This window comes from Homo sapiens, chromosome 13 (genome assembly GCF_000001405.40).
Source record: "Homo sapiens chromosome 13, GRCh38.p14 Primary Assembly".
NCBI lineage: Eukaryota > Metazoa > Chordata > Mammalia > Primates > Hominidae > Homo > Homo sapiens.
Window position 1 is genome coordinate 109416293 of NC_000013.11, and position 14484 is coordinate 109430776.

The 14484-nt window shown below is 37.5% G+C and overlaps 1 annotated feature.

Annotated features, from left to right (window-relative positions):
• Nucleotides 7675-8198: an enhancer, noted in NCBI's record as "OCT4-NANOG hESC enhancer chr13:110076314-110076837 (GRCh37/hg19 assembly coordinates)". NCBI's record gives its function as "activates a minimal SCP1, AML or CMV promoter by ChIP-STARR-seq in primed H9 embryonic stem cells {active_cell/tissue: H9 hESC(primed)}" and the evidence as "EXISTENCE:reporter gene assay evidence [ECO:0000049][PMID:30033119]".

The following is a 14484-nucleotide window of genomic DNA, read 5'->3' on the forward strand; positions in this document are numbered from 1 at the left end:
CACCCGCCCATCCAGGGTCCACGGAGGCATTCTGCAATTGCTAGCCCCAGACCCACTTTCCACATTTCGGTAGTTTGTGAGTAAGCCGTTTGTTTTCTGGGGGCGATCTTGGCTGACACAGAGTGACATGCAAGTCCCAATTTCCCCTACAAAATGCAAACCCCTAAGACAGGGCAGTGGAATAGAAAAGTGAGGGGACACCAAAGGCAGAAAGAAGACACTAGTCCACCTTCCTGAGTGAACCTTTTGGGAGAAATCTGTGTGCAAAGTCAACTTGACCTAGTGAAGAAATCAAAGGACTGGACTCAGGCCACCAGGGAATCAACTTTCACTCTCAGCTCTCCTGGCTCCTCAACTCCCAGGGCAGTGTGGTGTGGCTCTGTCTGTCTGTCCGTCTCTCCATCTGTCATCTGTCTGTCTGTCTATCTATCTATCCATCTGTTAATTTGTTTATCTCTCCATTGACATCTATCCATCTGTCTTCTATCCCTCCATCTATTAGCTATCCATCTATCATCTATCCATCATCTGTCTATGTCTCATCTATCCATCTATCATCTGTTTATCTCTCCATCATGTCTCTTTTTATCACTCATCTAGCCATAATCTGTTCATCTTTCCAGCTATCATCTATCCATCTATCATGTCTATCTCTTTCTCTCCACCTATCATCTGTTCATCTGTCAATCGATCTCTCCATCTATTATCTATCTATCTATCTATCTATCTATCTATCTATTACCTATCCATCTCTTGTCTATCATATCTATTTTCTATCTACCTTTCTATTTATCATCTACATATCTATTATCTAGCTATCCTCTGTCTATCCTTCCATCATCTATCGATCCATCCTCTGTCTAATTATCTATACTTTATCTTTCTCTCCATCAACACAAAATATTTAAGTATCGTGTATATTGTAACCATATTGCTATAAAACTTTGATTTCTATTTTTTCACCACAAGTTATGAAACTTTTTCTTGTATAATGGCTGTGAACTAGCTCAGTTTTAATTTGTTGAACAGCATAGTGATGACCAAGCTCACAGCCTTATTAGCATACACAATTACTTTGCTTAGAAGCGGGGGATAGAGAGCTCTAAAAACAAAAAACAATTCTTAGAAAATTCAGAGAAGCCCCCAATGTTCTGAAAGCTCCAAATAGATGCTATGAGGTTGGATCAACTGTCTTTTCTCTTTTCTAGGTGTGTGATACCTATTAAAGTTACAAGACTCATCAAACACATCAACTTAACAGTAACATACTTAATAACAACGTATATTTAAGCACTTTAAACTTATTGTCCTTTTTGGGCTTTTGGTCTAGTTTGGGCTTGTCCTGTATATAAAGCCCAAGCTGGCTTTTCAATATCATATCATCAAATAATATATAATAAATATACAATTTTTTTGTTGCTTGTACTGCAGGCTTTATATAAATATACTGCACTTATACGTAAATTAAAATGCTGTTCTGAAAATTTTTATAATATATATTTTTGCATACAACTCTGATTATTTCTTTCATCATCCAGAAGTGTGACATAGAAAAAATGGTGAACACTGTTAAGTTTCTTGGGGGTATATCAATAAGCTGTCTCCAAAAGGAGCATATGATTGTAGAGTCCCACCACACTCACAATGCACACTTTTTTCCACTCTAAATTTTTGTGTTTAATTTTTAATTTTAAAGTAATTACTGACTTTTAAAAAGTTGCAAAAATAGTACAAAGAATCTTCACCTTCACCTCAATTCTCCCAGTGATAACAACTTAAATAGCCACAGTAAAGATAGAAGCATTAGAAAAAAATAACATTGGTACAATACTGTTATCTAATCCACACACTTCATGTCAGTCTCACCAGTTGTTCCATTAATGTGCATTTTTTTGGTCCAGGATATAATGCAAAATCACATGTTGATTGCATGTAGTTTCCACTTCACAATAATCTTTAATCTGGGTATTTCCTCAGTCTGTCTTTCAAGACTTTATGCTTTTGAGGACTGCTGGCCAGTTATTTTATATAATGTTCCCTATTTCAGCTTGCCTCACATTTCCTCATGACTGAATTTCAGTATTATATTGGTGACAAAAGAGATGTATTCTTGACACATTGCACTGGTGATGTTAACTTTTTAGATCATTTGATTAATGTAGTTTTTGGCTTGTTTTTCTAATGGTCAGGAAATCTGCCTTTACAATGTAATTCTAATTAAAATGTGGAGAAGGAATGATAGAAATAGAAAATCATTTGGTAGACACCATAGGTGGTGGTGTCTGCAGGTCATCCCCATCAAGAGAGAAGTCTGAATCTTCAGTAGAATTCCAACTAATAAACATAGAAAGAATGATAAAAAATAGAAAATACAATTTGGCAAACTCCACAGTAATTATTGTTTCAAGCAAAAATCATCACTGGATGCTTAAAGTAGCACCCGAAATGTGAGAAACAAGGCATGTACAACCTCAAAGTATCTCTCTACATGATATGTATTAATTACAAAGGGGAAATAGTAACTTTACAGCAAAAAACTTAGCAAACACCATGATATATTTTATAAGCATCCTCAGTGGGGAGAAGCCATTAGCATGATAAAAAAGTTGTTTAATTTGAAAAGAGAGAAAGATATATTTACCATATATGCTAGTTACATGTTTTTTTCTTTTTTTAATAAATTGTCCCTTATCATTCTTTGCAAACATTTCTCTTAGGTCTTTCACGGTTTCACCAACTGACTTATACTCTGTTTTTATGCATGAAGTACATTCATCTATTTTTTGTCATGTTTGTTGCAGTTTTCCCTAGGTGGTTTTTTCCCTTTTAATATTCCTTATGCCGACTTAAGAAATAAAGAAGCTTTCTATGTAGTTGACTGCACTGATTGTTTCCATTATTCTCTCTTCCATTATTTCTGTGACTATATAATTTTTCAACATTCTTGAGAAGAGAAAAATATTCCCTCTGAATTTTCCACCATATGTAATGTTCTTTTTTTTTTCTCAAAGGATAATACGTTGTTTCAGGAAAAAAAAATGTAACTCGTAATCCTTCTGTTTTCACAATTTTGTGACACTGCTCTTATCATTTATTGTTTCCAAAGTATGATAGTGTGTTTCTAATTCATTTATTTAATACATCGATCCATTCACCAGACCCAAAGTGATCTGCCCATTGAAGTTTTATGTCTGGACAAAAATGGCCCTTGTTTCTCTTCTTTCTCAAAATGTTGCCCTTTAATTTCATATGATTGATCTTCCTGGCAAACTTTGGTGGAATTCCTGTGCCAATAACCTCCACCTTCCAAATTTCCCGAGCATTTTGATTGAAATTGCACTAAGCCTACAGTATTGGCTAAGTTTGAAAGGAAATAAGATCCTTGTAATAATCGATTTGCTGTATTTTCAGCTTTCCTTTATTTAAGTTTTCTTGATGTCCTTTTGGGAAAAACGGTAGTTTTGTGACACTAAAATTTTTGACAACTGGTATGATAATAAACTATATTAATATATTTTCATACAAATTAATTAAATATATGCCTCGAAAGTAAAATATACCCTCCTTTATCCATTAACTGACTGAATTAAACTATATATATATATTTAAGTGCTTACCATGTGATACATTTAGCACCATTTTCTCTAAAATCATCAATTCCAAATTATTTGTTTATAAATGAAAAACTGTTTTTGTCATTTGTTTGTCACTACTCTCACCAGCTAAATGCAGTGAGTGTAATGATTTGACTGAGGGAACTGCATCAAAGTCTTCCCAAGACGACTCATTGAATGGGTGGACATGAGATAACTTGTAGTTTAAGCAGAAAAGGTGTGTCATCGATGTCATCCATCATGCTGCTGATTGCTCTCTCACGTTCTTTTGCACAAAGATATTATACTCAAAATATTTGCTAGCCTCAGTATACAATCTGAGATTCATATATACTAAATATCTCTGTTATCAAAGTCACAAATGTTGCTTATTGGCATGTTCGATTCCTCTGTTGACTTAGCTTTATTCATTAGGTCATTTTGAATCCAAGGAGATTTGCAAGAATGGGACCAACCTGAATCACAGAAAACAGGTCTCTATTGTTTTTTCTCAGAATGAGTTTCATTAAAATAAAATTTCCAAAAGAATTATTTTCTCATGCCTGTTTCCCCACTGAATTACTATTGTACATTTTGATATAATTTTTAAACTTTTCTTGCTGCCCTGGCACTCTTGTCCTATACTACTATGCCACTATCGACACTTCCATATTCCTCTGGTTTTTCTTATTTCAACTCTATCACTTCAGACATATGGTTTAATTTTCTTTAGTATTTATTTGGCATGTAGTTAAAACATGAGATTTATCGAAACTAGTGGTAAAGTGATTTATTCAATTTATATTGTTTATAGCACACCCATAGATGGGTATCATGACTTAGATGTTGCCACGTTTAAATATGTACAAATGTTTCTACATTTTGACTAAAACTTCAGACTTTCTCCATAGATATATCCTAATGTAATCTGTACAAAATCTAATCAGATTTTATTGTGAATCTCTTTAAAATATTTTTCTCTAAATATATTCACCTACTATATAATCCCCCAAGTTTAAAATAGAATAAAAAATAAAATAAAATATTTTTCTCATGTACCAAAAATAAGGTCTAATGTTTTTTAGATGACATTCCTTTCAGCTCCCTGAGATCATCAAAATACATTACTAACTTCAGAAAAATGGCATTTTACCTTTTCAGTAAATTGTTAAAACAGCTTGATGTGAAATACTTATCAAAAATAGCAATTGAAATTTTAGTGCCCTGATTTTTAAGTTTTTTCAAAAAGTTACTATTTTATTTGGATAAAATTCTTGTGATAAATACTCAAAAATCTAATTTTCAAAATAATATCTATTCTGATGTTAATCTTTTTAAAGTTCTATTTAATATTTAGTGTCCAAAATGCTCAATATTTTCTTGTTTATTTATTTATTTGTATTGTAGATTCAGGGGTACCTTTGCATATTTGTTGCACAGGTATTTTGCATGATGGTAGGGACTGGTCTCCGGTGTACCCATCACTCAAATATTGAACACTGTATCCAATATGAAATTTCCCAACCCTCAGCCCCCTGGCCCGCCTCATTGCTCCCACTGTCCGTTATAAAATGCTCAATATTTTCTAAATGTTGAATAGTGTTTACAATTATGGTGGCACATTCTAAGTATTTTCTTTTGCTTTATCAGCACCCTTTTTGGTTTTCAAGAGTTTTTGTTTTTCAAATGCTTTATAAGAACTAAATGATTCATAATGTTATCTTAATTTTCACCTTATTGATTATAGTAAGTTTTCTTTATTTGAACCATAAAAATAAATTGTATGTGACTGTTATGAAGAAATAAATAAAAATTTGGCATGTCCCACTTTTAATGATAAAAGTTGTGAACAACATTTGCATTCAATATTTATACCACATTATTTTGTTGTTGAAAACAGTCATTGCTTTTCCTTAACAAATGCAAATTATTTATGTTGATTCTTGTGCCATCAAAAGACGTCCTGGGCTGTTCAGGTTTTTATACACTATCAGCAGATGTTTGTGATAACATTTCATTATTAAATAAATGTCTTTTAAAATTTTTTTTGCAATCTAGAATATTTATGTTCATTATATTTAAAAGGAATGTTTACAATTATTTAAATATTGTCACCAATTCTTCCTGGGTTTTTAAAGTGTTTTTATAGATGAAAACACCCCACCTGTGAGCCCTTCCTGCATTCTTGCTAGTTTTCAACCTTTTAATGAACTGTACATTTTAGTATCAGTGTCTCAATATCTTTAAAAGTCCTCTCTATGATCATGGTATATTCTTACATGTTTTAAGAAAATATTATTTTCTGCAAAAAGGACTTGCACATTTAAGTTTTTTTCTTAATGTATTCGTTTGCTAGAGCTGCCATAACAAAACCACATAGACCAGGAGGCCTCAACCACAGACACTGATCATCTCACAGTGCTGGAGGCTGAAAGATCAAGGTGTCAGCAGAACTGGTTCCTTCTGAGGCTGAGGGAAGGATCTGTTTCGGGCCTCTCCCCTTGGCTTGCGGGTGACTCTGTTTTCTCTGTGTCTTCACGTCCTCTTCCCTCTGTCTGGGTGTGCTACAATTTCCTCTTCTTGTAAGGACACCAGTTGTATTGCATTAGGGGCCATGCTAATAACCTTCACTCTAACTGAATGACCTCTCTAAAGACCTTATCTCTAAATAAAGTCACATGCTGAGATACTGGATTTAGGTCTTCCATATGGGAATTTTTCTAGGGACACCATTCAGCCCATGACTAAATAATTTATATTCTGGGTGTAATTTAAAACATCCTTTTAAATTTCATTTTGTAGAATTTTGGTGTTGCTGTATTTTGAAATTATACCTGGGAAACTTGTAGACTCTCTCATGAATCTGAAAAGCTTTTATATTTATTAAGGATTTTCTGTGTAGATATTCATATCATTTGTCAATCATGATAATGTTGTTTTTTTTTTTTTTTTGGAGTCTCACTCTATCACCCAGGCTACAGTGCAGTGGCACAATCTCAGCTCACTGCAACCTCTACCTCCTGGGTTCAAGAGATTCTTCTGCCTCAGCCTCCCGAGTAGCTGGGATTACAGGCATGCACCACTACGCCCAGCTAATTTTTGCGTTTTTAGTAGAGTCGGGGTTTCACCATGTTGACTAGGCTGGTCTCGAACTCCTGACTTCAAGTGATCTGCCCGCCTTGGCCTCCCAAAGTGCTGGTATTACAGGCGTGAGCCCCCGTGCCTGGCCAATGTTGCTCTTTTCTTTCCAATTTTATTTGACCTTAATTTCCTTTTTTCCTATGGTGCTAACCAGTACGTTTTTCAGAAGTGGGGCTCATAGGTACCTTTGCTTCTTCTTCTCATTTGCCACCATCCTCAGCACTTTCCCATGATAATTTACATCTCAAAATGCACTAAACCATCATGATTGTAATTATATTTAGATGACTTGCTTTACAGGGAGCTTTTCACTAGCAAACGCAGGTGAAAGGTAGTTTCTGAGAGAAGGGTGAGCAGGAATCATTCGCCACTCCTCAGCTGAGTTCACTGCTCTACTCCAGTGACATCAGCCTTGGGTCATCAGATACATTCTGCATTTTCAGAAATATCACCACATCACATATCCTTGTGAGTCTTTGTGCATGCATGTGTGTTTGTGTTGGATGCTTATTTGGATTTATTTCTGTTGAATAAATCTGACAAAATAGCATTAAATAATTCATTAGTTATCCAACCATGGTAAAATCTCTAGTGAGAGCCTCAGAATTCTGAACTTGACCCTGTTCTGTCTGATATATATTTTCTATAACAACTTTATTGAGATATAATTCACATGCCACAAAATCCACTTTTTAAGTGCACAATTTGTGATTCCTAGTATATTCAGAGTCATGTAACCATCACAACTGTCTAATTTTCATCACCACATCAATAAAATCCGTACCCCTACCGGTCACTCTGCAAATCCCCTCTCCCTCATCCCTTGGCAACCAAGAATCTACTTTCTGCCTGTGGATTTGCCTATTCTAGGCATTTCACATAAATGAGATCATACAATATGTGACCTTTTGTGACTGGCTTCTTTCGCTCAACATAATGTGTTCAAGGTTCACACATGTTGTGGCATGTGTTCGTAATTCATTCCATTTTATTACCTGATATACTCCAGTGCTGTTATAAATTTTTCAGTGGGGAGGTGGTTGCAAAGGTTACAGCAGATCAGCTATTGCTGGCTAGCCTCCAAATTGGTCTCTAATTTGAGGTTGATCGGGGTTTATCGATTACAGAACAGGCTCCTCTAGAGGGATATGAAGCACCGCCAGGTCCTTTGAGTTTTAAGCTGTGGCTCGTAGTGTTCTGGCGAGCAGTTTTGTTGATTTAACTGTTGAGGTTTAGGGCTAAGCATAGTGGGGTATCTAATCCCAGTTTGGGTCTTAGCTATTGTGTGTTCAGATATGTTAAAGCCACTTTCGTAGTTTATTTTGTATCAACTGGAGTTTTTTACAACTCAGGTCTCTGTTGACTGTTGCAAAATGGTTCAGATACAAACTCTCTAACACATTGTTTCCCTTTTTTTGTTTACCAGAAACACAGGATTCAATTCAATACTTTTATTTACTTCATTAAAATGAAAATAGGTTGAAAAAGAGGTAATGTAAATAATAGCTAACATTTATTGAGTGGTTACTATGCACCAAGCACTGTGATTTATATACACAACTCATATAAATGAAATTGTAACAACATACACAGGGAGTAGGAACTATTACTGTCTTTATTCCACAGCTGAAGAAAATGAAGCTTAGAGATTTTAAATACCTTGCCCAAAGTCAAACACAGCTAGTAAATGATGGAGCTGGAATCTCAACCCGTATCTCACAGACTTTGCAGGAGGAAGAAAAAAAGGGAGAAGGCGAGAAGGGAAGAAAAGGTGAGAGAAAGAACAGGAGAAATCTGGTCCACTGTTCATGTATTAACCTCCAGGTAACTGTGGTTTTTTAAGTCTTCTTGCATTAGATTTACATGCAAGTACTTTGTCTCCTTAAGCACACAACCGACAAATTTAGCTTCTATAGCAAAGGTTATTTTTTCTATTTCTCTTCAATGTCTTCACAAGCCCTAATATAACACTCTTCTTGGTGCAGATAAATAAATGATGTTGACAAACACCCAAGGTAAACCATTCCGAGTAGACATGTGTAGTCTCCAGGGTGTTATATTGGAAATGACAGCCACACCAGGGTGAAATGCTCAAGCATTTAAAACAATATTCTGGAATTTATGAGTTGGTGCTTAAAAATAATGGCCCCAAAATGCCTCAAAATATGCACACACCAAACAGAACCTCACCTCTGTATTTATTGTTGAGTAATAAAAATGTGTAGAAAAAGGATTTGATGGTAAATAGTCTTATTAAACCTAGGAGCCATGCACACAGCTACGATGGAGCATTGGGCCAAATAATGCCCATTGAGCTGTAATTCTGTCAAGAAGGGACACATAAACACCCCTGATGGAATTAGAGGCTTATACTGGATGGTAAATGTACCTTCTTGTTTATAAATATAATGTCAGATTAAACTGTGGTGGTAGCCATCGTGTCATTACTTCTCAGAAGCAAAACCATGTATGGAATCCTTTAGTTTTTCTTAAGAAAGCTGAAAATGAGACTCTACACATGGGTAAGGTGAAGGGGGCACACTGCTGACTGGAATGAACATGGCAGGAAAATTCTCTTTAAGGAAAATATATAAACAATACAAAATGGTGGGCATTAAAAAAGATTAGCTCTGACATGGGGTGGGGATTTTTTTTCTTTGTCATTGTTCAAAGCTGAATAGCAATAAGATTGCAAACTGCAGCACTTCATAATAGAATTAAACCTCCTTGTATAATGAGGTTCATTATAAATGACATGCATAATTCCAATTCTATTCTGTGTTGATTCCATCTTTTGTTGCTGAGACAGACTGCTTTAATGGGCAAAGGAACCAGGCCACACTTAAAACACACTTAATATTTTGCAGGAGTGTTTTGTTTCCTTTCTTGTTTCAGTAAGTCAGGGTATGCTTTACACAAAAATATCCATTTGGATGTAGCGTTCTTATGTAATAAAGTGTACACCATTCAGGAGAGTATTTTAAAAATCTTCAGTGATGAAATAGTGTATGTAAAGATGTATTTCCTGAGTCAATTTCATCTGCTATTAACCAAAAAAGGCAAACAACATAGGAAAATTGTTTGATTAGTGTGGATTTTCAAGGCTGTATACTTATTACTGCCAGCCCACCACCTCCACCCTCACTACTCAAATCTTTGGAGAAAATCAAATGCAGTAAGACACGATGGAATATCTGAGGAGAAAATAAAGGAAACAGAACTATACAGGATAAATAAAAACAAAGACAGTGCAGGTAAAAGATACACGTAGTCAACTTAACAATGGATTTTAAAACTCCACTGAGTTAAACATGGGACAATGACAAGGTGAACCCACTGCTAGAATGTCCACCACCTCACTCAGCCCCTGCCCCTTCCTTCCTTCCTTCCTTCCTTCCCTCCCTCCCTCCCTCCTCCTTCCTTCCTTCCTTCCTTCCTTCCTTCCTTCCTTCCTTCCTTCCTTGCTTCCTTCCTTCCTTCCTTCCTTCCTTCCTTCCTTCCTTCCCCCCACATCATGGCTTTCCCACAAGGCCCTGGAGAGCGCAGAGAAACACATTTCCAGGGATCTGGTCTCTAGGACACTGCACACCTGGGGAGTCTGCAACCTGATGTCAGCTATTTTATCTGTCCGCTCTGTTCTCTTCTTGCTGTTTGATTACAGAGAAGTGAAGAAATAAGTGCCCATGCTTGAGAAGTTCTCTTCCAAGTGTGGTATCTTGGGCTAAGCTTATCTACTCTAAGAGAATTTCAAATTTGCACATGATTTCCCCACACACTCACCCCAATCCAAGCACAAGCCAGAGAACACTGTGGTTTGCATGGTTCTTTCTGGCACCATTATTCAAATCATTTTGAAGTTTCTTGAATTTCAATAGGAGGCAAAGGCCACCAAATGTCTTAGGTCCAGAATATATTCCATCCTTGCTGCAATAACAATAGATGATTTCATAAACATTCACGTGAATGTGATATACCACATCCAGTCAGGACCAATGAAGAGAATCATGGATTCCATGGAGAAATCAACACATTCCTTTGGCCCTAGGTTCTGTATCATTTCCCTCTATTTACCCATAATAAGGGTTTAAATGTACATCACAGAAAATGAGTTCTACCTGGGATTTCTTCCTTCTCTGTTAAATGTACAATGGTGCTTCAGAGAAGTCTGCAGTTTACAAGTAGTTTCCTGAAAGGGTTGACATCAAACACTGAGAAAAGTCCCAAGAGAAAGTTGCTATGGTGGAGTGAAGGAAGAGATGCTGGGTCACAAGTGCAGCACATTTGTGTGGGCAGATGAGAACAACCACAGGAATGAAAAGGAGGCCATAATTAGAATCATATAAATTAGACATAAAAGAAACCTATTAGTTCATCTCAATCATCCCTAAAGGGGCCAGCATAAGGCCGTTCCCTGCAAAGCATTTTCAATACTTTGTCTATATCATTTTTAACAGGCTTATGAGATGATGTGCTTTCATTATCTGGGTGGAACGGGGCTGTAATTCTTTTAAATAATAAGGAATCTTTAATCTTAGCAGTGAACATTTTAACAAGGAGTTAATGTTTGCAAGACATGTACGGAAAGCAGGGTTGTCCACGTGTTTATGTTTTCAAGTACACATGAAACGTCCCTCAACACAGTCATTTCACAAATATTACCCAACGGCACTCTCAGGTACATGTGAATATTTGCTCTTTTTTCAAGAATCTTGCAATCGATAGTCCAAGGAAATAATCTGTTATCTGTGAAAAGGCTAAAATCAGTAAAAAATAAGAAATGATTTCCTTGAATTATTGTTCCCAGAATTCTTAACAAAGAACAAAAGAGGAAGAGGGGAGACAGGTGGGTTTGGCCTCTCTTCCTGAAGATGGCAGCACTTGACTCAGCAGGTTCAAATACACTTTTGGTTCTGGATCAATTGCCCTAATGTCACTTACAGGGAGAGTGCACGATCTTCTACAATACATGGAGGTGGGGGCGAGACTGTAGGTGAAATCCTAAAACACCTCATAAAAGGGGTAGTCAGCCCTAAAAATGGAAGCTGTGACCTTGAAAGCTTGGAATAAGTCAAGTGGGTGGCCCACAACCAACACGGAGAAGCTAAGTCAAAGATGTTTTTACCAGCAGCTATGCAGAGGGAAGGTTGAGATGCTCTTTGACTTACCAGCTGCATGATCTTTGGCAATTATTTGATCTCTCTAAAGCCACAGTTGTTTCATTTGTAAAAGTTATTTATTTTTTCTTTCAAGAAATACTAAGCATCTACTACGTGCCAGGCCCTCCACCGGATGCTGAGATTACAACAGTACACAAATCCAGCAATGTCTTCTTCCACGCATGTAATGAGGGTGCCAACTCAAGGCTGTGGTGAGGACTGAATTAGGTCATGCTATGGAGCTTATGTTTTGGCACATGGAAAGTGCTTAGTGAGTATTAGCTTGATTGCTGCTATGATAATATCTGGAATTGAGTAAGCCACTTTTATAAGATTTCTGGATACTTATTGATATGGTTTGGCTCTGTGTCTCCATCCAAATCTCACCTTGAATTGTAATAATCCCCACTTGTCAAGGGAGGGACCAGGTGGAGGTAATTGAATCATGGGGTTAGTTTCTCCCATGCTGTTCCCGTGATAGTGAGTGAGTTGTCACAAGATCTGATGGTTTTATAAGTGTCTGGCATTTTCCCTGCTGGCACTCATTCTCTCTCCTTCCACCCTGTGAAGAAGTGCCTTCTGCTGTGATTGTAAGTTTGCTGAGGCCTTCCCAGCCATGTGGAACTGTGAGTCAATTAAACCTCTTTTCTTTATAAATGACCCAGTCTTGGGTCCTTCTTCATGGCAGCGTGAGAATGGACTAATACACTTACCTCTGAGGAACAGATGACAAAGTATGCACTGTATAGTAACATATTTTGGAAAATTGGTATCTTTACATTTTTATTTTCTTAAATAATCACACTTTCAGAAAGAAGAGTTCACTTTTGCTTTCTCAAATTCCTTCCCTCTGAGTCATTCCTAAACGAATGTGGGTTCTCTGCCCACCACTACTTTCAGTTTAGCAATTCCTTTTTGTGCACCTACTGCATGCCAGGTGCTATGACAATATGGGAAACTGCAACAGGGGCTCAGGAACCTCTGAGAGGAGCTCCTGCAGGTGATGAGCAGGAAGTATCAGGCCGAGAGGCAGCACAACCAAGGAAGGAGAGCCAGCACATGAGAGTAATGGGGTCTGGGGCCCCCAAAGAGGTGCCACCATTCACCCAGTTGGTCTTTTCAGAAACGTTTGCTCTGTAGCTCATGCCTAATAGGTTCCAAATTCTGTAGAGTCCACCCCTTAAACATTTTTGAAAATTCAGCCATTACTCTTTATCTCTATTGTCATGTTTTCAATTCAGACATGTGTCCTCTCTCAATCATTGCCATGACTCAGGAATTGAAACTCATTTTGCTGCTGAAACACTAGGGGTTCAGTCTTGGTCCTGCTGCTTGCTGCACAGAAAGCCAATCACTGAGATGATGAGTACTGCCAGAGAAGAAGGCTTTAATTGGGTGCTGCAGCCAAGAAGATGGGAGATCAGTCTCAAATCCCTTTCCCTGACTGACTAAAATTAGGGGTTTATATAGAAGAGAAGAAATGTAACCTTGTGTAGTAAAACAGGAAGTAGGGAGGAGTGAGGAAGAGGAGTTGGTCAACAGGTGGCAGGCAATCAGTTTGGCTATTATGATCGTGATGATGAGGGGTCTGGAATCTCATTGTCCAGATGTGGTGATCTGGTGAGTTTCAGCTCCTGATACTACCTGGGAGCCCTGATGGTTGTTTTTTGAGAAAAGAACTCAGATAAGAAAAATGTATCCTTCTCAAGTTTTAAGATGGGAGGATCAGTTTCTATGTTTATTCAAAGAAACCATAAACATCAGTTCTATGAGATAATTGGGTCAGTTTCGGATTCACCCTGTAGAGTTCCTCAACCTTGGCATTGTTGACATGTGGGGATGGATAATTCTTTGTTTTGTGGAAAGTGCCCTGTGCATTGTAGAATGTTTAGCAACATCCCTAAGATCTATCTACTAGATAGCAGCAGCAACTGCCTCCCCCACTGTGACAGCCAAAAATGTCTCCAGATACTGCCAAAGTCCCCTAGGAGGTAAAATATCCCCAGTTAAGAACCACTGCAGTGCCCCAGATACTGCCAAAAGTCCCCTAGGAGGTAAAACATCCCCATATAAGAACAACTGCAAAGCTCTTCATGAAATTCATGCATGTTTTGTTCACTCACCTGCCTCTGGTCTTTGCTCAAATGTCCCTGAATTGGTAGGGCCACACTTGGCCGTCTTATTAAGATTACAGTTCGTACCACACCTCTGCTCTACCTCCATCTGGCCACTCCTTCTCATTGATCACCTTTATTTAGATCCCTAACATTATCACCACCTGATGTATTTTGCCTCTTTAATTGGCTTAGTGTCTGTCTCTCCTTCCACATTAATAAGAGTGAGCTCCATCTCCATCTTTTTTGTTATTTGTCCACCTCATGCCTTCTTAGTAGTGTCTTGGCTTTGGTATCAGCTCCCTATGTTCCTTTTTCCCCAGTCTAACTCCCAGATATCAAAACATCTCTAATCATCACTGAATCATGAAATCATGATAGCATCATCCTACCCACAGTTTCCCATTGCACCTGTCAACAATGGATAATGTTCTGAAACCGCTCACGTGACCAGCTGGGGCCCTTGCTCAGCCATTCAGC